The sequence below is a fragment of the Homo sapiens genome, chromosome 6, assembly GCF_000001405.40.
Source record: "Homo sapiens chromosome 6, GRCh38.p14 Primary Assembly".
In the NCBI taxonomy this organism is placed as follows: domain Eukaryota; kingdom Metazoa; phylum Chordata; class Mammalia; order Primates; family Hominidae; genus Homo; species Homo sapiens.
In genome coordinates this window covers 143,887,104-143,913,603 of record NC_000006.12, presented here as the reverse complement: position 1 = coordinate 143,913,603, position 26,500 = coordinate 143,887,104, and the positions used below count along the sequence as shown (strand labels likewise).

Below are 26,500 nucleotides of genomic sequence, written 5' to 3'. Positions count from 1 at the left end.
CAGGAGCTTTAAATACACCAGTCTTTCTGCAACACAGGCAAGGTAGGTGGTCTGCATATATCCCTAGGAAGGGGCAGAATCCAGGGAGCCAAGCAGCATCATTCTGTAGACCCCACTTCCACCACACCTGACAAGATAAGACCCACTGTCTTGGAATTCCAGTAAGCCATCAGCAACAGGGCGGAGCCTGCCTGAGACAGGATGGAGCCTCAAGGGGAGAGTGGTGGGCAACACCTCTGCTGTTTGGTCAATTCAGCTATTCCAGCCTGTGGACTCTGGAGAGTCGAAACCGTCCAGACAAGGAAGGGTTTCCCTAGAAGTACAACACAGCAGCTTTGCCAGATCACAGCCAGACTGCTTCTTCCTCACTGGGTAGAACCTTCTAGCTGGACACTCCAGCCACACCTGCCTGCACATATTAGGGACAGAGCTCTGATCTCTCCCTGGGATGAAGTGCCCAGAGGAGGGGAGGGCTGTCACCTGGGTTGGTTGGATGACTTAGCTGTTCTGGACTGTGGGCTTTGGAGAGACCAAGTTGACAGGGGCAGAGGCAGTTCATCACCACAGCACAGCTGTTTTGTTGAGGTATGGCCAGACTGCTTCTTTAAGCAAGACCCTGATCCACTCCTCCTTGGATCCTGGGGCAGGTACTCCCAGTCAGGTCCCACCCACAGGGGCCTCTGGTCACCCTGGCCTGTGTTGTCCCTGGGACAAAGTGCCTGAAGGGTGGGGCAGGCTGCCAACTTGGCCATTTGGCTTCTCAGCTTGTCCAGCCTGTGGGCCTTGGAGAGCCCAAACCGATCAGGGGCAGAAGGGATCTCCAATACAGCACAGCTGCTCTATCAAAAGCATCCAGACTGCTTCTTTAAGTGGGTTCCTGACCCTGACTGGGTAAGACCCCCCAACAGGAGTCTTCAGCCACCTCCTACAGGCAAATTTGGGCCAGCAATAGGTCAGTACCCCAGGATAGAGCTTCTAGAGGAAAAAAGTTGGCTGCCATCTTTGCTATTTCACAGCCTTCACAGGTGATACCTCAAGGTACAGAAAATAAACAAGAAAACTAAGGTTTAGAGTGGACCCCCAGCAAACCTTAGCAGCCCTATGGATGAGTTGCCAGGCTGTTAAAAGAAAAACAAACAAATAGAAAACAACAACAACAAAACCCATCCAAAAATCAGCAATGTAAAAAATCAAAGGTAGATAAGCCCACTAAGATGAGAAAGAAGCAATGCAAAAACACTGAAAACTCAAAAAGCCAGAGTGCCCCTTTTCCTTAAAATGACTGCAACACCTCTCCAGCAAGGGCTGAGAACTGGGCTGAGGCTGAGATGGTTGAAATGACAGAAGTAGGTTTCAGAAGGTGGGTAATAAACTTCGCTGAGATAAAAGAGCATGTTGTAAACCAATGCAAAGAAGCTAAGAATCATGATAAAACAATACAGGAGCCGAGAGCCCAAATAGCCAGTTTAAAGAGAAACATAACTAATCTGTTAGAGCTGAAAAGCACAGTACAGGACTTCACAATGCAATCACAAATATTAATAGCAGAATAGACTATGTGGAAGAAAGAATCTCAGAGCTTGAAGACTATCTTTCTGAAATAAGACAGGCTGACAAAAATAGAGAAAAAAGAATGAAAAAAAAGAACAAAACCTCTGAGAAACATGGGATTATGTAAAGAGACCAAATCTACAACTGATTGGGGTACCTGAAAGAGACAGAGAGAATGGAACCAAGTTGGAAAACACACTTTAGGATATAATCCAGCACTTCCCCAACCTAGCATGACAGGCCAATATTCAAATTCAGGAAATGTGGAGAACCCCAGTAAAATACTCCCTGAGAAGATCATCCCCAAGACACATAATAATCAGATTCTTCAAGATTGAAATGAAAGAAAAAATGGTTAAGGGCAGCCAGAGAGAAAGGCCAGGTCACCTACAAAGGCAAGCCATCAGACTAACAGTAGACCTCTCAGTGGAAACCCTAGAAGGTAGAAGAGACTGGGGGCCAAAATTCAACATTCTTAAAGAAAAGAATTTCCAACCCAGAATTTCATATCCAGTCAAACTAAGCTTCATAAGCAAAGGAGAAACAACATCCTTTTCAGACAAGCAAATGATGAGGGAATTTGTTACCACCAGACCTGCCTTGCAAGAGCTCCTGAAGGAAGCACTAAGTATGGAAAGGAAAAGCCATTACAAAAACACACTGAAATACACAGACCAGTGACACTATGAAGCAAACACAGAAAGAAGTCTACAAAATAACTAACTAGCATCATGATGACAGGATCTAATTCACACATAACAATACTAACCTTAAATTTAAATGGGCTAAATGCCCCAATTAAAAGATATAGAGCAGCAAACTGGATAAAGAACCAGGACCCATCAATATGCTGTCTTCAAGAGACCCATCTTACTTGCAAAGACATACATAGGCTCAAAATAAAGGGATGAAGGAAAATTTACCAAGCAAATGGAAAATATTGAAAAAAGCAGGGGTTGCAATCCTAGTTTCTGACAAAACAGGCTTTAAACCAACAAAGGGCTGGGCGCAGTGGCTCATGCCTGTAATCCTAGCACTTTGGGAGGCCGAGGCAGGTGAATAACCTGAGATTAGGAGTTTGAGACTACCCTGGCCAACATGGTTAAACCCCATCTCCACAAAAAGTACAAAAACCAGCTGGGCATGGTGGTGGGTGCCCGTAATCTCAGCTACTCGGGAAGCTGAGGCAGGAGAATCACTTGAACCAGGAGGTGGAGGTTGCAATGAGCCAAGATCGTGCCACTGCACTCCAGCCTGGGAGACAGAGCAAGACTCCATCTCAAAAATAAACAAACAAATAAACTAAAAAAGATCAAAAAAGACAAAAGAAGGGCATTACATAAAGGTAAAGGGTTCAATTCAACAAGAAGAGCTTACTATCCTAAATATATATGCACCCAATACAGGAGCATGTAGATTCATAAAGCAAGTTCTTAGAGGCTTTCAGAGACTTAGACTTGCAAATAGTAATAGTGGGAGACTTTAACACCACACCAACACTATTAGACAGATCATCAAGACAGAAAATTAACAAAGATATTCGGGACTTGAACTCAGCTCTGGATCAAGTGGGCCTGATAGATATCTAAAGAACTCTCCACCCCAAAACAACAGAATATACATTCTTCTCATTGCCACATGGCACTTAACTCTAAAATTGATCACATAATCAGAAGTAAAACACTCCTCAACAAAAGCAAAAGAGCTGAAATCATAACAACCAGTCTGTCAGACCACAGCACAATCAAATTAGAACTCAAGAGTAAGAAATTCACTCAAAAACACACATCACATGGAAACTGAACAACTCAAGATTAAGAAATTCATTCAAAACCACATCACTACATGGAAACTGAACACTACATGGAACCTGCTCCTGAATGACTTGTGGGCAAATAATGAAATCAAGGCCGAAATCAAGTTCTTTGAAATTAATGAGAACAAAGATACAGTGTACCAGAATCTCTGGGATGCAGCTAAAGCAGTGTTAAGAGGAAAATTTACAGCACTAAATGCCCACATCGAAAAGCTAGAAAGAGCTCAAATTGACAACTTAACTACTAAAAGAGCTACAGAACCAAGAGCAAATAAACCCAAAGCTAGTAGAAGACAAGAAATAATCAAGATCAGAGCTAAACTGAAGAAGGTAAAAACAAACAAAACAAAACCCTTCAAAAAATCAATGAATCCAATAACTGCTTTTTTAAGATTAATAAGACAGATAGACTGCTAGCTAGACTAGTAAAGAAGAAAAGAGAGAAGATTTATATAAACACAATCGGAAATGATAAGGGGGATATCACCACTGACCCCACAGAGATACAAACAACCATCAGAGAATACTATAAACAACCCTATGCACATACACTAGAAATTCTAGAAGAAATGGATAAATTCCTGGACACATACATCCTCCCAAGACTGAACAGGGAAGAAACAGAATGCCTGAATAGACCAATAACAAGTTCTGAAATTGAGGCAGAAATAAATAGCCTACCAGCCGGGAAAAAAAAAAAAAAAAAGCCCAGGACCAGAGAGATTCACAGATGAATTCAACTAAAGGTACAAAGAAGAGCTGGTACTATTTCTACTGAAACTATTCCAAAAAATTGAAAAGGAGGGGGAATCTTCCCTAACTTATTTTTTTTTCTTTTTTGAGATGGAGTCTAGCTCTGTCACCCAGGCTGGAGTGCAGTGGGTCAATCTCAGCTCACTGCAACCTCTGCCTCCCAGGTTCATGTGACTCTCATGCCTCAGCCTCCTGAGTAGCTGGGATTACAGGAGCCCACCACCAAAACCTGTCAGAGATACACAACCAACAACAAAAACTTCAGGCCAATACCCTTGATGAACATCAATGCAAAAATCCTCAACAAAATACTGGCAAACCAAATCCAGCAGCACATCAAAAAGCTTATCCACTACAATTCAGTAGGCTTCATCCCTGAGATGCAAGGTTGGTTCAATGTACACAAATCAATAAATGTGATACATTACATAAACAGATCTAAAGATATGAATTTCTTAATGGATACAGAAAGGACCTTCAATAAATTTCAACATCCCTTTATGTTAAAAACGCTCAATAAACTAGGTATTAAAGGAACACACTTCAAAATAATAAGTGTCACATATGACAAACCCACAGCCAATATCATACTGATTCGGCAAAAGCTGGAAGATTTCCCCTTGAAAACTGGCACAAGACAAAGAGGCCCTCTCTCACCACTCCTATTGAACATAGTACTGGAAGTTCTGTCCAGGGCAATCAGGCAAAACAAAGAAAGAAAGAAGATTCCAACAGGAAGAGAGGAAGTCAAACTATCTTTGTTTGCAGATGACAGGATCCTATATCTAGAAAACCCCATTGTCTCAGGCCAAAAGCTTCTTAAGTTGGTAAGCAACTTCAGCAAAGTCTCAAAATACAAAATCAATGTGCAAAAATTGCTAGCATTCCTATACACAAACAACAGGCAAGCTGAGAGCCAAATCATGAGTGAACCTCCATTCACAATTGTCACAGAAAGAATAAAATGCCCAGGAATACAGCTAACAAGGAAAGTGAAGAATCTCTTCAAAGAGAACTATAAACCACTGCTCAAAGAAATCAGAGATGACACAAACAAATGGAAAAATATACCATGCTCATGAATAGGAAGAATCAATATCATGAAAATTGACATACTGCTCAAAGCAATTTACAGATTCAATGCAATTTCCATTAAACTACCATTGACATTCTTCACAGAATTAGAAAAAACTATTTTAAAATTCATATGAAATCAAAACAGAGCCCAAATAGTCAAGACAATCCTAAGCAAAAAGAACAAAGCTGGAGCCATCACGCTACCCAACTTCAAACTACACTACAAGGCTACAGTAACCAAAACAGCATTACACTAGTACAAAAAGACTCAGAGACCAATGGAACAGAATAGAGAACCCAGAAATAAGATTGCACACCTAAAACCATCTGATCTTCAACAAACCTGACAAAAACAAGCAATGGGGAAAGAATTCTTTATTTAATAAATGGTGCTGGGATAACTGGCCAGCCATATGCAGAGAATTGAAACTGGATCCCTTCCTTACACCATCTGCAAAAATCAACTCAAGATGGATTAAGGACTTAAATGTAAAGCCCAAAAACTAGAAAAACCATAGAAGAAAATCTAGGCAATACCATTCAGAACATAGGCATGGGCAAAGATTTCATGATGAAGACACCAAAAGCAATTGCAACAAATGCAAAAATTGACAAATGGGATCTAGTTAAACTAAAGAACTTCTGTACAGCAAAAGAAACTACCAATAGAGTGAACACACAATTTACAGAATGGGAGAAAATGTTTGCAATCTATCCATCTGACAAAGGTCAAATATGTAGCATCTACAAGGAACTTATACAAATTTAAAAGATAAAAACAACTTCATTAAAATGTAGGCAAAGGACATGAACAGACACTTCTCAAAAGAAGACATACATGCAGCCAACAAACATATGAAAAGAGCTCAACATCACTGAACATTAGAGAAATGCAAATCAAAACCACAATGAGATACCATCTTACACCAATCAGAATAGCTATTATTAAAAAGTTAAAAAATAACAGATGCTGGCAAGGTTGTGGAGAAAAAGGAACACTGTACACTGTTGGTGGAACTATAAATTAGTTTAACCATTGTGGAAGACAGTGTGGTGATTCCTCAAAGATCTAGAGGCAGAAATACCATTTGACCCAGCAATCCCATTACTGGGTATATACCCAAAGGAATATAAATTATTCTATTATAAAGATACATGCACATGTATTTTCATTGCAGCACTATTCACAATAGCAAAGACATGGAATCAACCTAAATGTCCATCAGTGATAGACTGGATAAAGAAAATGTGGTACATATACACCATGGAATACCATACAGCCATAAAAAGGAATGAGATGGTGTCCTTTGCAGGGACGTGGATGGAGCTGGAGGCCATTATCTTCCACAAACTAATGCAGGAACAGAAAACCAAATCCCACATGTTCTCACTTATAAGTGGGAGCTGGATGATGAGAAAACATGGACACATAGTGGAGAACAACACACAATGGGGCCTGCTGGAGAATGGGGGGAAGGAGGGAGAGCATGAGGAAGAATAGCTCATGGATGCTCAGCTTAATACCTAGGATGATCTGGCAGCAAATCACCGTAGCACATGCTTACCTATGTAATAAACCTGCACATCCTGCACATGTACCCCTGAACTTAAAATGAAAAGAAAACCATTAGCTTGATAGACTAATAAAAAAAAAAAAAAGAGGGGCTGGGCACAGTGGCTAATGCCTGTAATCCCAGCACTTTGCAAGGCCAAGGCGGGAAGATCACTTGAGGCCATAATTTAGAGACCAGCCTAGCTAACATGGCAAAACTCTATCTCTATTAAAAATACAAAAATTAGCCAGGTGTGGTGGTGTGTGCCTGTGGTTCTAGCTACTGGAGAGGCTGAGACAGGAGAATCACCTGAAGCCAGGAGGTGGAGGTTGCAGTGAGCTAAGATTTCGCCACTGCAATCCAGCCTTGGCAACAGAGTGAGGCTCTCTCTCAAAACAAAACAAAAAAAAATTAAAATTAAAATTAAAAAAGAGAAAACACTCAAATTACTCAAATCAGAAAAGAAAATGGAGATATGACTACCAATGCTATAGAAATAAAAAAGGATTTCATGAGAGTATTATGAAAAAATATATACCAAAAAATTGGAGAACCTAGATGAAATGGATGAATTCCTAAAAAACACAACACCTACCTAGAGTAAATCATGAACGAATAGAATATTTGAATAGACTGATAACTAGTAAGGAGATAGAATTAATAATAAAAAATCTCATGACATTAAAATGCTCCGGACCTGAGGGCTTCACTGGCGAATTCCACCAAACATTTAAAGAAAAACTAACACCAACCCTTCTCAGACTTTTCCCAAATGTGTTGAAGAAGTAGGAACATTCCTAATTCATTCCATAAGGTGAAGGATACCCTGACTTCAAAGATGCTATAAGAAAACTACATCTCTTATGAACATTAATGCAAAAATCCTCAATAAAATACTAACAAATCAAGTTCAGTAGCATGTTAAAAGGATTATACACCATGACCATGTGAGATTTGTTCCTGGGATACAGGGATGGTTCAACACATGAAAATCGATCAATGTACACTACATTTACAGAATAAAGGACAAAAATTACATCATCATCTCAATTGATGCAAAAAAAACCATTTGAGAAAATTCAACACCCTTTCATGATAAAAACACTCAACAAACTAAGAATAGAAGGAAACTACCTCAACATAATAAAAACCATACATGTAAAACCCACAGAGATCACCATACTCAATGCTGAAAGACTGAAAACTTTCCCTCTGAGATCAAGAACAATGCAAGTGTGCTAATTTTCACCACTTCTATTTAATGAAGTACTAGAAGTTCCAACCAGAGCAATTAGGAAGAAAAAAATTAAAAGGCATCCAAATTGGAAAGGAGGAAGTAAAATTATCTCTGTTCACAGATGCTATGATCTTATAAGCAGAAAATCCTAAAGATATCACCAAAAAACTTATTAGAAGCAATAAATTAATTCAGCAAAGTAGAACAGAAAGTCAACACAGGAAAATTAGTTGTGTTTCTATATACTGACAATGAACAATCAAAAAAAATTATGAAGACAACTACATTTACAATAACATCAAAAAGAACACTTAGGAATGAACTTAAGCAATGAGGTGAAAGATTTGTACAATGAAAACTACAAAACATTGCTGAAAGAAATTAAAGAGGACATAAATAAACAGAAATATATTCCATGTTCATGGATTTGAAAACTTACTATTGTTAAGATGTCCATACTAACCAAAGCAATCTGCAGATTCAGTGCAATCACGGTTAAAATCTCAATGATGTTTCTTGCAGAAATAAAAAAGCCCAACCTAAAATTCACATGGAATCTCAAGGGATCCCAAATAGCCAAAACAATCTTGGCTGTACCTTGGAGGACTCACAGTTCCTGATGTCAAAACTTACTAAAAGCTATAGTAATCAAGGAAATATAATACTGGCATAAAGACAGACATATAAACCAATGAAATAGAATAGAGTCCAGAAATAAACCCTTGTATACATGGTCAAATGATTTTTGACAAGGGTGCAAGACCATTGGTTGAATGGGGAAACTGGACATCTACATTCAAAAGAATGAAGCTGGACTCTTACCTAACACCATATATTAAAAATTAACTCAAAATGGATCAAAGAACTAAAACGTAAGATCTAAAGCTAGCCTTAGCTTAGACAAAAACATAGGAGTAAACCTCTCTGACCCTGGATTAGGCAAGGATTAATCCAATTTCTTGGATTCCTTGGTCACCAGAGGCAACCAAAGAAAAACAGACAAATTGGACTTCACTAAAATTTTAAAAATTTATGAATCAAGAGAATATCAGCATAGTGAGAACTCATCTCTACGAAAAATTTAAAAATTATCTGGGCATGTTGGCACATGCGTATAGTCCTGGGTACTTGGGAGGCTGAGGTGGGAGGATCACTTGAGCCTGGCAGGTTGAAGCTGCAGTGAGCTATGATTGTGCCACTGCACTCCAGCCTGGGCAACAGAGACCCTGTCTCAAACAAACAAAAAACACACACAAAAAAGAATATCAACAGAGGAAAAAGGCAACCCATGGAATAGGAAAGAAAAGAATATTTATAAACCATATGGCTGATAAGGGATTAATATCCAGAATACATAGAGAATTCCTAAAAGTCAACAACAAAAACAACCAATCACACTGGTGATTAAGTTAGCAAAAACCAAAACAACAAAAACAATTCAAAAATGGGCAAAGGACTTGAGCAGACATTTTTTCAAAGAATATATACAAATGACCAATAAGCACTTGAAAAGAGGCTTAACCTCATAAGTCATTAGAGATATGCAAATTAAAACTAAAATGAGATACCACCTCATCCCCATTAGGATGGCTCCTATGGTTCTGCCTTGTTGCTACTTTGAAGAAATTACAGTCAGCCTCTGTTCCCATGGGTTCCACATCTGCAGATTTAACAACTACAGATGGAGAACATTTAAAAATAAATAAATAGATAAATAAAACCCAAGTGTACCAATAATAAAAAATAATACAACAATTTTAATATAGCATAACAACTACTTACATAGCATTTACATTGCCTTAGGTATTATAAGTAATCTGGAGATGATTTAGTGTATACAGGAGGATGTGCCTAGGTTATATACAAATTCTACGCCATTTTATATCAGGGACTTCAACATCTCAGGTTTTGGTACCCACTAGGGCCCTGGGACCAATCCCCTGTGGATACCGAGGGATGACTGTACAGAAATTCTTGACTTATGTTAGTTTGACATAAGATTTTTCAACTTTACATGGGTTAATTGGGATGTTAAATGCATTTTTGACTTATAATATTTCTATTTACAATGGGCTTATCAGGACATAGCCCCATCATAAATTGAGGAGGATCTGTATTTATTTCTAGAAAAGAAACTTTCCCCTTATTTTCAACACAAACATATGACACGTGGTCTTCTCCTATTTTCAATCTCTTCAATTTTACTAGACCGGAGAACAATGGTTTAGACTCCCATTGCAGTAATCGAATTTGACTTGTACATTGTGAAAGTTGTGTAATCCTGATAAATTAAGAAATATTCCCTTTTGGCAAATAAGCTTTAACCTCTAACCCAAATATCTTTGCATCCAAAAGCAACAGTGAATGTCTTAGAGCTTTTGCAGACTACCAGTGAATCCCAAACCCAACAGTGATCTCCTCTGACCCCCATCATTTGAGAGATGAAATGCGTGCTTTGACTCACCTGACTTGGTTGGGACTTCATTCGTGGCCACCAGGACCCTGTTCTGCAGCAAAGCTCCCACAGCACTGGTAACAGTTGGTTCTTTTTTTGGACCCATCTGAGCCCTACCCTACAGAGAGAGAAAGAAAGAGACAAAGAGAACACCTTCTGTATGTAACCTCAGGTGCCACATAGGAGGTACAGCTGTTCCCACTTAACCAGCAGCAGAATGGTATCATCTGCAGGGACTCCCTGAATCCAGGGGAAGGGGACAGACACACACCCTGCACTTCAGTTAGCCTGGTTCTTGTCCTCCCAGCTGGTGCTCAAAGCAATATCTGGGTTTTGAAGCTTCCCTTCCATAATTAAGCCCTTGGGGTTGGTGGTGGTATATTTATCCTATAAAATTAGTTGTATGGAGACATAAGAAATCACTTAATGTCAATAAAGGATATATTTAAAGAACATTTTATTTTTTTCATTACACTTGAAGACTATTTTGTTTTTTTTAACATGAACAAAGAAAAACAGATTGGCAGGCAGCAAATGTTTGAAGCATGAAATTCCAACATCCCTACACCATCCCCCTCCCTGCAGAGCAGCAGCAGCAGAATAGTTACATTAAAACGAAATAAGGACCAAAAGGTTTCTCACATGCTCCTTTTATCTTGCCACTGATCCCACCTCCAGTTCCACGGAACTGCAGGATAAAGATAACCTGTTACACCAAGTGAGAATTCTCACTTGGGCAAGAATGGCTGAGAGACTATAGGAGGCAGCTCATCCCCATTCACACAAATAAAGCTATTTTTAGAGGCCTATATTGGTCTCTTTTGGTTAAGAGTATGACACATTTTAAAAGTTGATTATGTTTAAAATAGAAACATATTTCGGCTGTGTTAACAGCCCTTCAAAACTGAAACAACCCCTCCTTTCTTGTTCCATTTTTGAATAAGCTTCACTATTAGACAAGGCCCCAAAGTGGTGAAGCTGGCACAAAGGAAACAAATACGGCTGTTCAGATATACTCTACAGTGAGTGAAGGAATTCACAAAGCAAGCAATTTTTCTTCTGTGTTCGCAATCACCACTCAGCTCTGGAAAACAAGGAGAGGAGTGGGGCCAAGTCACTGGTTACACTGACAGCCAGCTGGCCTTCTTCAGGAATAAAAACACTTCCGTTTGCTGCTTTCCTGTGCTCTCTTTGGCCCCACTAAAGCAGACTAACTCTGGAGACCAGTAAGAAGAACCATCTGCAGAAATGTAACTCACCCTTTACTGCTTTACAGACTGTAGGTAGACTTATACATACAAACTTTTCCATAATTAGGCTGTGTTCAAGCCCAAAGTAGTCATATTCCTCCAAAAGTGTCATGCCAATCGTATCAACTGGAAAAGGCTACTGGAGAAGGGGAGGGTGGGGTAATGTAGAGAGAGGAAAGGAGGAGCCCCTGTGTGCAAGACACTGAACCGGGCCCTTCACTTATCTATAAGTCCCCCAACAACTCAGCAAGGTACACATGATTAACCCCATTTTACAGATTAAAGTGAATCCCAAAGAATTTAAGTAACTCGGCCAAGTTTACCTAAATTATAGAATTAAAATTCAAACCCTGGCCGGGCACGGGGTCTCATGCCTGTAATCCCAGCACTTTGGGAGACCAAGGCAGGCAGATCACCTGAGGTCAGGAGTTCGAGACCAGCCTGGCCAACATGGTGAAACCTCGTCTCTACTAAAAATACAAAAGGTAGCCAGGCATGGTGGTGGGAGCCTGTAATCCAAGCTACTTGGAAGGCTGGGTCACAAGAATCGCTTGAACCCGGGAGGCGGAGGTTGCAGTGAGCCGAGATCACACCACTGCACTCCAGCCTGGGCAACAGAGTGAGACTCTGTCTCAAAAAAAAAAAAAAAAAAAAAAAAAAAGGAAGAAAGAAAGAAAGAAAGAAATTCAAACCCTGACTACTGACTGTAGAATCCTGGCTTTTTCTACATTGCACTTCTTTTCATGCTATCTCAGATGTCAAGACTGAATCTAGGCCGCGTGTGGTGGCTCATGCCTGTCATCCCAGCACTTTGGGAGGCTGAGGCAAGCGGATCACTTGAGGTCAGGGGTTTGTGACCAGCCTGGCCAACATGGTGAAACTCCATCTCTTCTGAACATACAAAAATTAGTCAGGCATGGTGGTGGGTGATTGTAATCCCAGCTACTTGGGAGGCTGAGGCCGGAGAATCGCTTGAACCCAGGAGGCGGAGGTTGCAGTGAGCCGAGATTGTGCCACTGCACTCAAGCCTGGGCAACAGAGTGAGACTCCATCTCAAAAACAAAAACAAAACAATCTATAAAACTGTATTTATTGTAACCACTGCCTCTCACCACCCATATGTCCTCCCTCCTGTGTTCTATTATCTACAGAGATTGTCTTCCTGTCTCTCCAGGCTCTGGAGCTGAAAACCTTATTGTCAACCCTGATTCCCTCTTTTATCCTATGTCTAATCATTTTCTCAGTCTCATCAATTATTTCTTAGATTCTCCCTCCCACACAACTCTATTAATCGTCCTATTCCAGGCCCTCATTCAAGGACCTGTTAATCAAGGACCTGTTAATCAAGGACCTGTCAATCAAGGACAGTCCTTGATTTTAGGGCATTTATTCAATCAATTCCTCTTTTCTTCCTCTCTCAACTGGCTTGAGTTAAAGCCCTTCTAGTTCTGGCTGCCTGTCTGCCTGTCTTGCCTGTCCCTGTACCTCTTTTTTCTTTTCTTTTTCTTTTTTTTTTTTTTTGAGACGGAGTTTTGCTCTTGTTGCCCAGGCTGGAGTGCAATGGCATGATCTTGGCTCACCACAACCTCTGCCTCCCCAGGTTCAAGCAATTCTCCTGCCTCAGCCTCACAAATAGCTGGGATTACAGGCATGTGACACCACACACGGCTGATTTTGTATTTTTAGTAGAGACGGGGTTTCTCCATGTTGGTCAGGCTGGTCTCAAACTCCCTACCTCAGGTGATCTGCCCACTTCAGCCCCCCAAAGTGCTGGGATTACAGGCGTGAGCCACCACACCCAGCACCCTGTACCTCTTTCGTAGGTACTCTATGCTTTCGCTCCCCAGATGGGTGCCTCAGGCCACAAGCTGGATGTTTTGTGCATAAAGCCCTTCCCAACCCCAACTCTAGGCTGGTGAACCCATTTTGATATTTAAGGGCAAAAAGTTTGCTTGCCTTTGAAGACTTCCAGGAATTGCAGTGACTTCTTCTTCCATAGCTCTCCTATATATGCCAACTGTACCAGCTCTAAGTCCCCCTCCATCTTTCAATGACAAATTCTTGATCAAACCAGTACCTAGCGCAGTTTCTGGTACATAGTTGATAGTCAATAACCTTCTAATGCTTAAGGGGATAGCGCTCAGGATCCACAGTCTGTGGGATCCGCTTTTGTTGGAAACGGTCCCACCCCATTACATACTGGATTTAACCAGAAGCTTTCTAAACAGGCTGTAGGGGCCAGGCACGATGCTCACACTTGTAGTTCTAGCACTTTGGGAGGCTGAAGAGGGCAGATTGCTTGGGCCCAGGAGTTTGAGACCAGCCTGAGCAACACAGTGAGACCCCATCTCTACTAAAAATACAAAAAATTAGCTGGGCGTGGTGCTATGCACCTGTAGTTCCAGCTACTCAGGAGGCCGAGGTGGGAGTATCACCTGCACCTGGGAGGTCAAAGCTGCAATGAGCCATGATTACACCATTGCACTCCAGCCTGGGCAACAGAGTGAGCCCCTGTCTCAAAAATAAATAAACAGTCTGTATACACTTAAAGTATCCAGACCAACTTTTCATGGCATCTAAGCCACGTCTATGAAACTAATAGTTTTTATGCTATATTGTAAGTATGTACCTGAGACCTTCGACTGTATGGTGCTGTTTGCTGGCTCCAGTTCTGTGGTTTATAAATCTACTGTCTTCCACTTCAGGTTGTTATTTTACTGATTTGCACCTAATGTTAACAGCTGCTTCCATTCATCCACATATCCCTTTAACTTGCTGATTCTGTGACTTTAAATAAAAGGTGAAGACCCCTCCTCTATAGAGCAAAACACATGACCTGTGGGGCAGTTGCCTTGGGACAGCCTGTCCCACTCAGGCAGTTTCACTTCAGGTTCGCAATTCTTTTCTGGGTGATTAAGGTTGATACTGTTGGATAAAGAGTTTTGCCATAATGCTATAGAAACACTATGTATTCAAGTCTTCACCCAAAGAAGCTTCAAATACTTTAGAAATATTTTTTTCTACAACACCCAAAGGTGCCTTAGCTGGAAAGCATTCTCCTGCAAAAGAAGTCAGCTCCCACAGGGGTGAGCAATCATGATCAGCTCTCTTCACGCTTACACTTCTTAGGATGGGTAACTGAGGTTCTCTAGGGAGTTCTACCGGCTCACCCCTAGGCATTCAAGGGCACAAGAGCCAACACCTGGGGAGAGATAGTTACCTGAGCTCTGGATGCCAATTTGGCTGCTGTCTGAGCTGGATTAAAGACTCGGCGAGAAGACTGATCCTTGCAGAAATTAGTATGTCGCTCAGCTGCGCTTTCATTAAACCTTCTCATACAATATGGACGTTGAATATAATCTGAATGTAAAGATAACAACAAATGGCAATTAGCACTTCAAAAACAACTATAGAATACTATAGAATTATAGAATGAACTACATGAAGTGAAATAAGGATATGATGGCTCATGCCAGTAATCCCAGCACTCTGTGAGGCTGAGGTGAGTGGACTGCTTGAGTCCAGGAGTTTGAGACCAGCCTGGGCAACACGGCAAAACCCCGTCCCTACAAAAAATTAGCCAGGTGTGGTGGTGTGTGCCTGTGGTTCCAGCCACTTGAGAGGATAGCTTGAGCCCAGAAGGTCAAGGCTGCAGTCAGCTGTGATCATGCCACAGCACTCCAGCCTGGGCAACAGAACAAGACCCTATTTCAAATAAGTAAATAAATAAATATGTAAGTAATGATATGAACTCTGCTCCAACATGAAAGAACAAGGTCCCAAACTCTGGTTTGAGACTATTCCAAAGGGCAAGACATGCAGGGCTCAACTAAAGGACATGGCATGGAAAAATGTCACAACCTGTGCATTCATTTCAATTGTCTGTCCTTGAAATGTTTAAGTGATGTACTTTTCCAGAAAAACAAAGAAAATTAATCTTAAGAACTTCTCAATGAAATGAATTATTTAGTAAATCCTGTGTAAAGAAAGTAGTTCTAGAATCACAGAATGTTAGTATTGATGGCACAGTAGGGCACAGAATATTCAAAAGCATAGGTTGTAGTGCTGGGTGGGTCTTAGAGAAGTTACAGAGTTACAGAGGGAGATGGGATGTTTCAAAATGTGGGTTTGGGAGATATGAATGGAAGTCAATGGGACTGTGTCACTGGCAGAAAGACATACTGCTTTTGCAGTGGCTAGATTTTTTTTTTCACTTAACTACTAAGTGAGCAGGCAATATATTCAGGAAGGAGATAGTAATAGGATAAAAGGTGAGGACTCAAAAAACAGAAAAGGGAAAGAAGGAGGGATGATAGGAAAGTTCACCGAAAACAGCTTCAGCTTCCAGAGATGCAATGGCCCAGGCAGCTCCTGTCGGCCCCAGGTTCTCTGTGGTTCTGTATAATATCTTTTTTTTCTTCTTTCATTTGCAATTAACAGACATAATTGGTTACGGAGAGAAATGAGAAGTGGGAAACAGGCAAGATCTTCTTAGAATGTGGAGCTGCTCATAGCAAAACTAGGTTGGCAACTACCCCTCTAAATCAAGCAGGGATTGGTGTTTGCTTTGTTTTGTTTCAGGCACCTTAAAGGGATAGCACACTAGATATCAGCAACATAAAATAATCCCACCGCCCCGACCCCAGGAAGGGTGTGAAACTGCATCAACCTCAAACTCAGTGTAGAACTTGTGTTAGTGTATAGTCAAAATTCCTACATGCGTGGATGGGTATTTCATGTAGTGATGTTAAGAATTTTTTGTAAGCCACCTTTTTAAGCAGTTTGGGGAGTTTCCTATTTGAACAAATCATTTCCTAAAATGTATATTCATAAGATGTAACAATTGTTAAGCACTTAGGAATTATCTGGTAGCCTTATCCTTTATTTCTTACTCCATCCAGAAGGCAGTACCTCATCATTAATTTAACACTGACTGAGCATCTACTTGGTGCCAGGTGCTGTCTTACACCTGGGGATGCAATGTCTCTGAAATCAAGGAGTAAGCATTCTAGCACAGAAACAAATAAATAAAAATTTCACACGGAGATAAATGCCTTGAAAAAAAATAGAACAGGACAGCATTGGGAAATGATAAAAAGCCCAGTGCTGGAGCTTGCCTGACTGGTTTTGAGCCTGAGTTCTTTACTTGCTATGTGTGTGAACTCGGGCAAGTTACCCAACCTCCTTAAGCTTCCATTTTCCCAGCACCTACATATCACCTGTTTCATCGGGTTGTTGTGAAAGTTAACTATGAAAATCCACATAAGGGCCTGGCACAGTGGGCGGGGTGGAACATACTAAATGTTTTGTAAATGCTAGCTATTGCTATAAGGAAACAGGTTCAGCAAGGTTGTGTTTCCAACTACCAAATAGAAGTGAAACTGCCTAGGAAAAAAGTACAATAGAAAGTGCCATTATCATTCAGAATTCATTTACAATGGTTTAGAAGAACCATCTAGAACATGGCTTTTAGCTTGGTGGTTATTTCTTCAATTTTGCCAGCTGGAAAGTGAAGTCTTACATAAGAAATGCTGCAACCATAAACCCTACTCACATTAGGCAAAGACAATGATCATGGCAATACTGAGTTGCTTCCTTAATCCCACTTGCTCATTCACTCACTGCCACCCTTCTGTGTTTGGTACTACATATCACCATGGAGACAGCAAAGTTGAAGTCTATTTCCCTGCCAATGAAAATCTCAGAGATGATTAGGCAAACAGACAATTACTGCTTGGTGGGATAAACTGTAGAAGAAGAGGCACTAGGGCCTCTGGGACCCTACAGAAGGAACATAAGGCCCCACCAGAGGGGCAGAGAGCAGGCAGGAGAGAGTCCTGTGGCTGAGCATTCAAGGTTGCTGATTTCTATTTATGTTGAACTTCACATATTTTGAGAATTGTTGTATTTTCTGCAACAATAATCTGAACCCAGCATAACTGAGCTACATGTTCTACACTCAGCTCAATCGGAGTCACCTCTCTTCCTCTATCAATAATGTTTTCATAAAATCACCATGTCCTATTTATTTCAATAGGTAATGATTTTAAAAGTCAGAGTCCAAATGAATTCTTTCGAGGAATATGGTGGCCAGATCTCAGAGAAAAGTGGAAAACCAAGCATTATTTTAAAATGCCAATATTGTGCTGTGTATCCGTGTCTATGTAGCTATGCAAAATGGTAACTGAATGTCCCAGGCCTCATAGAAAAATAACAATTATAAATATTCTATATCACTGTCCCCATAAACTGTCACAGTATCCTAGAAATTTAAATCATTGACAGACTTAGCTAAGTCACTAAAAAGTAGAATATAGGCATGTCTCAAAAACTGAATCATGAAAATAGGGAATCATGCTGAGGAAAAAAGGGAAATTACTGGCACATTCATGCATGTTAGGCCATGTTATATATAACTCTAGTTATATGTATATAAATTCTTTAGTACTGGCCGGGTGCAGTGGCTCATGCCTGTAATCCCAGCACTTTGGGAGGCCGAGGCATGTGCATTACCTGAGGTCAGGAGTTCAAGATCAGCCTGACCAATATGATGAAACCCCATCTCTACTAAAAATACAGAAATCAGCTGGGCGTGGTGGCGGGCGCCTGTAATCCCAGCTACTCAGGAGGCTGAAACAGGAGAATTGCTTGAACCTGGGAGGCGGAGTTTGCAGTGACCCGAGGTCCTGCCATTGCACTCCAGTCTGGGCAACAAGAGCAAAACTCTGTCTCAAAAACAACAACAACAACAAAAAACAAATAAATTCTCTAGAACTTAAGCCTGAGAATTCTGGGCTAATATAAAATCCTTGCACAAACAAAATCATCAAACCGTGGTGAAAATGTTGGGAGTGCATATAATCATTTGGTTTGTTGCATAAAATTATGTTAAGGACACAAGAAAGAAGTTAATTATAAAATTATGTGTTAGCATAGAAATACAAAGAAAAATAAATTGAACATTTGGTGAGGACTTACAAAAGGAATTTTTTTTAGAGAAACAATAATCCCCACATTTTAGATCCAAGTCACGGTTAGATCCAAGTTGGATCTAAAATGTGAGAGAAATTCACACAGCAGGACATCTGACATGGTTTCACTTATTCAATTAAAGAACCATAAGGTAGCCATCAACCCTGTAGTTTCTAATCTTAAAATGAATATATTTCTCATAAAAGATGTTTTTTGTTATATGAAACTTGTTGCCAAAGTACTTACATTATTACTAAAATCACAGCACAGATCTTTCTACTGAATATCTTAAGACAACACATTATTTCAAGATATATTTTCATTAGCACTCAATAAAAGGGAAGCAAATATGAGGATTATTTTCTGGTATAGAAGTTCAGATGACATATTTTTCAGATGATTTTATAGTATGACTACACTGTGGCTTTTTGTTTTTGCACTTTCTTAAATAGTCTTTTTGAGGAATAATTTACACACAACTAAATGCACCTATTTTACATGTACAGTTCAATGAGTTTTGACGAATGTATCCATTTTAACCACCTCAATTAAAATACAGAACATTTTCGTCACCCCAAAAAGTTCCCTCATGCCCCCTTTCAGTCAATATTTTGCAAAACCCAGTCTCAGGCAGCCAATTATCTATTTCCTATTACTATTCATAAGATTTCCCTGTCCTATAATTTCATATAATAGAACATCTATGTTGCTGCATGTATTTCCTCCTTATAGTTGAGTACTAGACCATTTTGTAAATATTCCACAATCTGTTTATCTATTCAATTGTTGATAGACATTTTCAGTTGTTTCCAGTTTACGCTATATGAATAAAGCTATGAACAATCATGTAAATCTTTTTTATGGACATGTTTTCATTTTTTGTATAAATATCAAGAAATGGAATTGCTTTATAGGCTAAGTGTATGTTTAACTTATTAAGAAAATACCAGTGCAGGCCGGGCGCGGTGGCTCACACCTGTAATCCCAACACTTTGGGAGGCTGAGGTGGGTGGATCACGAGGTCAGGAGATCAAGACCATCCTGGCTAACACGGTGAAATCCTGTCTCTACTGAAAATACAAAACATTAGCTGGGTGTGGTGGTGGGTGCCTGTAGTCCCAGCTACTTGGGAGGCTGAAGCAGGAGAATGGCGTGAACCTGGGAGGCGGAGCTTGCAGTGAGCCGAGATGGTGCCACTGCACTCCAGCCTGGGTGACAGAGCAAGACTCTGTCTCAAAAAGAAAAGAAAGAAAAGAAAATACCAGTGCAAAATGGTTGTACTGTTTTATACTTCTATCAGCAGTGTATGAGACTTCCAGTTGGTCCACATCATAGCAAACACTCATAGCGTCAGTCTTTTTCTTCTTTGTTTTTTGAGACAGTCTCACTCTGTCACCCAGGCTGGAGCGCATTAGCACAATCTCTGCTCACTGCAACCTCTGCCTCCAGGTTCAAATGATTTTCATGCCTCAGCCTCCCAAGTAGCTGGGATTACAGGAGTGAGCCACCATGCCTGGCTAATTTTTTTTGTATTTTTAGTAGAGACAGGGTTTTGCCATGTTGGCCGGGCTGGTCTCAAACTCCCGGCCTCAAGGGATCCGCCTACCTTGGCCTCCCAAAGTGCTGAGATTACAAGTGTTGTATTGTCAGAGTCTTTAATTTTAGCCACTGAAGTGGATGTGTAGTGGTATCTCATTATGGTTTTTAATTTGCATTTTCCTAATGAAAATGATGTTGAGTATCTTTTCGTGTGCTATTGGCTATTATTTTGTGATGTGTCTGTTCAAATAAATCTGTTTACCTTTTCTGATTGGGTTGTCTCCTTATTACTGAGTTTTAAGAGTTCTTTACATGTTCTTGATATGAGTTCTTTGTCAGATATACAAATTATGAATATTTTCTCCCAGTCTGTAACTTGCCTTTCCATTTTTTTTTTTCTTTATTCATCATTTCTTCAGACCAGATCCATTTTCTTAAGTCTTAAACTGAAATGTTTAATTTTGGTAAGGCTCAATTTACTAATTTCCTTTTTTTAAAAAAAAATTATTAGTGGATTTTGTGTCCTGCCTGGGAAATCTTTGTTGGCCTTTAGTTGTAACAATTATATTAGGTCAATGATCCTTTTTGAATGACTTTTTATATATGGTTGATATAGTTTAGATATTTGTCCTCTTCAAATCTCATGTTGAAATTTGATCTTCAGTGTCGGAGGCAGTCCTAGTGTGAGGTGTTTGGATCATGGGGGTGGATGTATTATGAACAAGCTTGGTACTGTCCTTTTGCTAAGGAGTAAGTTCTTGCTCTATTAGCTCCCATCATAACTTATTGTTAAGAAGAGCCTGGGCTGGGCGCAGTGGCTCACGCCTGTAATCCCAACACTTTGAGAGGCCGAGGCAGGCGGATTGCTTGAGTTCAGGAATTCAAGACCAGCCTGGGCAACATGGAGAAACCCCACCTCTACCAAAAATACAAAAAAATTAGCCAGGCACAGTGGCATACATCTGTGGTCCCAGCTACTCAGGAGGCTGAGGTGGGAGGATAGCTTGAGTGTGGGAGGCAGAGGTTGCAGTGAGCTGAGATCATGCCACTGCACTCCAGCCTGGGTGACATAGTGAGACTCCCTCTGAAAAAAAAAAAAAAAAGAGCCTGTCACTCCTCCTTCCCACCTCCTTCCCTTCCCTCTTGCTTTCTCTCTTGACATGTGATGCCTGCTCCCCTTCACCTTCCATCATGATTGGAGACTTCCTGAGATCCTCGAGAGAAGCAGATGCCAGTGCCATGCTTCTTGTACAACCTGCAGAACTGTGAGCCAAAAAACCCCCTTTTCTTTATAAATTACCCAGCCTCAGGTATTTCTTTATAGCAACACAAACAGATTAAGACAATGGTATAAGAATCAAGGTTCATTTTTCCATATGGATATCCAGTTGTTCTACCATCATTTGTTGATAAGACTAGCCTTTCACCCAGTGAATTACCTTGGCATCTTTTAAGAAAATCAATTACCCACAGATAGGGGGGTGTCTATATCTAGATTCTATTTTCTGTTAAATTGATACACCATACCAAGTTGTCATGATCACTGTACTGTTATAATAAGTCTTGACATCAGGTAATGTAAATACTCCAATTTTGTGCTTTTTAAAAACTATATTGCCTATTCCAGATCCTTTCCAGTTCCATAAAATCTTTGAATCAGCTAGTCAATTTCTTTTTTTTCTTTTTTCTTTCTTTTTTTTTTTTTTTGAGACAGAGTTTCGCTCTTGTCACCCAGACTGGAGTGCAGTGGTGCCATCTCTGCTCACTGCAACCTCTGCCTCCCGGATTCTCCTCCCTCAGTCTCCTGAGTAGCAGGGATTACAAATGCCCACCACCACATCCAGCTAATTTTTTGTGTTTTTAGTAGAGATGGGGTTTCACTGTGTTGACCAAGCTGGTCTCAAACTCTTGACCTCAAGTGATCCACCTGCCTCGGCCTCCCAAAGTGCTGGGATTATAGGTGTGAGCCACCACGCCTGGCCAGCTAGTCAATTTCTACTCAGCAAAAATAACTTCTAGGTATTTCTAGTGGAATTACATTGAATCCATAGGTTAATTTGGGTAGAATTGACATCATAACACAATCTTGAGTCTTCCAAACCAGAAAAATGGTAAATCTCATCATTTATTCTGGTCCTCTTTAATTTCTTGAAGGAATGCTATGAGATTTTCATTTTATAGGTTCTGCATATATTTTGTTAAATACACCCCTAAATATTTACTATTTTTATGTTATTATAAATTTATTAAATTTCTTTTTTTTTTTTTTTGAGATGGAGTCTTGCTCTGTCACCCAGGATAGACTGCAGTGGTGCGATCTCAGCTTACTGCAACCTCTGCCTCCTGGGTGCAAGTGATTCTCCTGCCTCAGCCTCCCGAGTAACTGGGATTACAGGTACCCACCACTGCACCCGGCTAATTTTTGTATTTTTTTTAGTAGAGACGGGGTTTCACCATCTTGGCCAGTCTGGTCTCGAACACCTGACCTCGTGATCCACCTGCCTCGGCCTCCCAAAGTGCTGGAATTACAGGTATGAGCCACTGCGCCCAGCCTTAAATTTCATTTTTTAATTGTTTATGCCTAGTATATAGAACTACAACTCACTTGTTTATACCTTATATCCTGAAATGTTGTTAAATTCACTTTAATTCCAGTAGCTTTTTTGTAGTTCCCTAGAATTTTCTATATTTACTCATTCACAATTATGTTGTCTGTGAATAAAGATAGTTTTACATCTTCTTCCCCAATTTACATGCTTTTTACATGTAAATATAATATTTTAATTCATTTCTTGCCTTATTACACTGAGCATTATCAATAGTACAGTGTTGAATAGAAGTGGTCAGAATGAATATCCTTGTTTTTTTCCTGATCTCAGTGGGAAAGTGTTCAGTTTTTCACTATTAAGTGTGATGTTAGCTGTAGATTTCTCAAGGATGACCTTTATGGAGGAAGTTCCTTTCTAATTCTATCTTGCTGAGAAGTTTTTTTTTTTTTTTTTGTATTGTATTGTTTTTAACATGTAAGGAATTACACTTTGTGGAAGGCTTTTTCTCTATTGAGATGATCATATGCTTTTAAAAATATTTTGTTAATTTGATGGATTACATCATTTTCTTCTTTTGACCTAATTTAGGTCTCATTTGCTCTTTTCCTAATCTTTTAAAGAGAAAGTTTAAGATAATTGAACTAAAACTTTTCTCTTTTCTATTATAAACATTTAAAGCTATAAAATTCCCTCTAAGAATGAATTAAGCTGCATCCCACAAAGTTAGATGTTTTCATTATCATTCAGTTAAAACTATTTTCTAATTTCTCTTGTGATTTCTTCTTAGATCCAAGGGTTATTTAGAAATGACTTGTTGATTTCCAAATATTCAGGAATTTTCCAGATATATTTTTGTCATACATTTCTAATTTAATTCTATTCTGATCAGAGAACATATTATGTATGATTTCAATTCTAAATTTGAGACCTACTTTGTGGTCCTGTAATGGTCTCTCTTAGGTGACTGTTCCACGTATACTTGAAAACACTGTCTTCTGCTGTGGCTATGTGTCATAGGATAAGTATAAATGTCAATTAGGTCAAATTGGTTACTGCTGCTCAACTCTTCTATATCTTTACTGATTTTCCTGCTGTGTATTCTATCAGTTACTAAGAGAAGAGTGATAAAATCTCCAAATATAATTGTGAATTTGTCTACTTCTCCTTCCAGTTTTGTCAGTTTTTGTTTCACATTCTTAGAAGCTCTGTTACTAGGTACATAAACATTTAAAACTGATAGGTCTTCTTGATGTATTTATCATTTGAATCATCATCTGTTAATACTTGCCCTGCAGTTAACTTTGTGCTATATTAATACAGTCATTCCAGCTTTATGATTATTGTCTGCATGTATATCTTTTCCCGTGCTCTTATTTGTGTCTTTATATCAATGTGTTTTTCTTATGGAATACTTATAGTTGGGTCTTGCTTTATTATTCAGTTTGACAATTTCTGTCTTTTATCTGGAATGTGTAGGCCATTAATATGCAATTATGCATATGGTTAGGTTTAAGTCTACCATCTTGTTATCTGTCTTTATCCCACCTTGCTCTTTGTGCCTTTTTCCCCCTTTGGATTGAATTTTTTTGCATTTTTTATCTCTACTCCATGTATTGTCTTATTAGCTAAATAGCAATATTTTTTAGTGGTTACTCTAGAGTTTACAATAGGTATCTTTACCATATGATAGTCTACCTTTAAATGACACTATACCTATTCATGTATAATATAAGAACCTTACAATATATGTCCATTTTCCTCACTCAACCTTGTGCTATTGTTTTCATACATTTCACTTCCATGTTATAATACCCATTATATGCTATTATTTATGCTTTAAAAAGTAACTAGTAACCCATAGTTGATATTATCCTCAATGGAAAACACAAGACAAGGATGTCTACTTTTGCCACTCCTATTCGATATAGTACGAAAAGTTCTAGCCAGAGGATTTAGGTTCGAAAAAGAAATAAAAGACATATCAATTGGGAAGGGGGAAGTAAACTTATCTCTGTTTCAGGTGACATAATCTTATTGTATAAAATCCTATAGATTCCACAAAAACACTATCAGCAATAATATTATAAATGAATTCAGCACAAGTTACAGGATACAAAGTCAACATACAAAGATCCATTATATTTTTATACACTAAAAATGAACAATATGAAAAGAAAGTTAACAACTCCATTTATAATAATGTCAAAATGAATAAAATACTTAGAAATAAATTTAACCAATGAGGTGAAAGACTTGTCCATTGAAAACTACAATATTTTGCTAAAAGAAATTAAAGAAGATGTAAATAATAGAAAGATATCCCATGTTCATGGATTGGAAAACTTAATATTGTTAAGATGACAATAGTACCCAAAACATTCTATATATTCAGTTCAATCCCTAAAAAATCTCATTATAATATTTTTACAGAAATAGAACAAAAATCCTAAAATTCATATGGACTCTCAAAGGACCTTGAATAGCAAAAACAAACTTGAGTATATTTTGCAGAACTCAAACTTCCTGATGTCAAAAATTACTAGAATACTACAGTATTCAAAACAGTTTGGTACTGGTGTAAAGACAGACATATAGACCAATGGAATAGAACAGAGAGCCCAGGAATAAATCCTCAAACATATGGTCAAGTGACTTTTGATAATGGTGCCAAGATTATTCAATGGGGAAGAAAAGTCTCTTTAACAAATGGTGCTGAGATAACTGGATATCCACATGCAAAAAAACGATGTTGGAAACTTATATTACACACAAAAATCGACTTAAAATAGATTTTAAAAAATCTAAACATAAGAGCTAAAACTAAAAGAAGAAAGCATGGGCAAGTTTCATGATGTAGGTTTGGTGATTAATTTCTGGATATGACATCAAAAGCACAGGCAACAAAAGAAAAAACAGATACACTGGACATCATCAAAATGAAAAACTTTTGTGTATTAAAGGCTATTATCAAGAGAGAGAGAAAAAGACAGTCCACAGAACTGGAGACAATATTTGCAAATCATGTATTGTATCTGATAAGATTAATATTGATATATTAATAATCTTATATTAATATTTATGCTAATCTCATTGAGATTCTAGCCCTAACTTTCAGTTTACATAAAGATGAGATAGAGGAAAAAATTTAACAATATGACTAAATAAGTGGAGAAATACAGAACATGAGACATTCTAAAAGGTGAATAGCCTGGTAGGGATATTGTTCAAGATTTAATAAAGACCGAAGAGATAACAAAAGGTAATATGTAAACTGTGATTGGATCCTGGGTTGTGGCTGAACATGGGTGAGAAGAGAGCTTTAAAAACCATTCTTAAGCTAATTGGGAAAACATATTAATATATATCAAGTGTGATAATAGTATTGTGATTATGCAGGAAAAGGAACTCATACTTAAGAGACGCATACTAAAATAGCTAAAGTATTAATGATGCTTGGAACTTACTTTTAAATGGTTCTGCCAAAGAAAAAAAGATAAAGGAGAAATTATGGCAACAGCGTCAACAATTGCCAAATTTCAGTGGAGGGCATGTGTACTATTCCTTCCTCTTTTCTGTAGATTTTTAAATTTTCAAATAAAATGTTTCCAGTAAAAAAAGCTGTGGGTACTAAATTGTACAGCTTCAAATGGTTAAAATGCTAAATTTCATGTTTTGGGAATTTTACCTGGAAAAAAAAAATTGCTGTGGGTATCTGACACGATGGGGCTGTTGCAGAGTTGGTTAGTTT

General features: G+C 39.0%; 1 protein-coding gene across 1 annotated transcript in view, besides 1 other annotated feature; it reads right to left on the bottom strand.

The window, feature by feature from the left end:
* Positions 1-26,500, bottom strand: part of ZC2HC1B (zinc finger C2HC-type containing 1B) — a 73,870-nt gene that overhangs the window by 24,740 nt on the left and 22,630 nt on the right. Inside the window, exons 5-6 of the mRNA NM_001013623.3 lie at positions 14,913-15,052; positions 10,452-10,560 (exon numbers count right to left, since the gene is read on the bottom strand). Coding sequence (NP_001013645.1) covers positions 10,452-10,560; positions 14,913-15,052 — 249 coding nt within the window. The remainder of the gene's footprint in view (positions 1-10,451; positions 10,561-14,912; positions 15,053-26,500) is intronic.
* Positions 11,451-11,670: an enhancer, noted in NCBI's record as "active region_25207". NCBI's record gives its function as "activates an Ori minimal core promoter by ATAC-STARR-seq in GM12878 lymphoblastoid cells {active_cell/tissue: GM12878}" and the evidence as "EXISTENCE:reporter gene assay evidence [ECO:0000049][PMID:35858748]".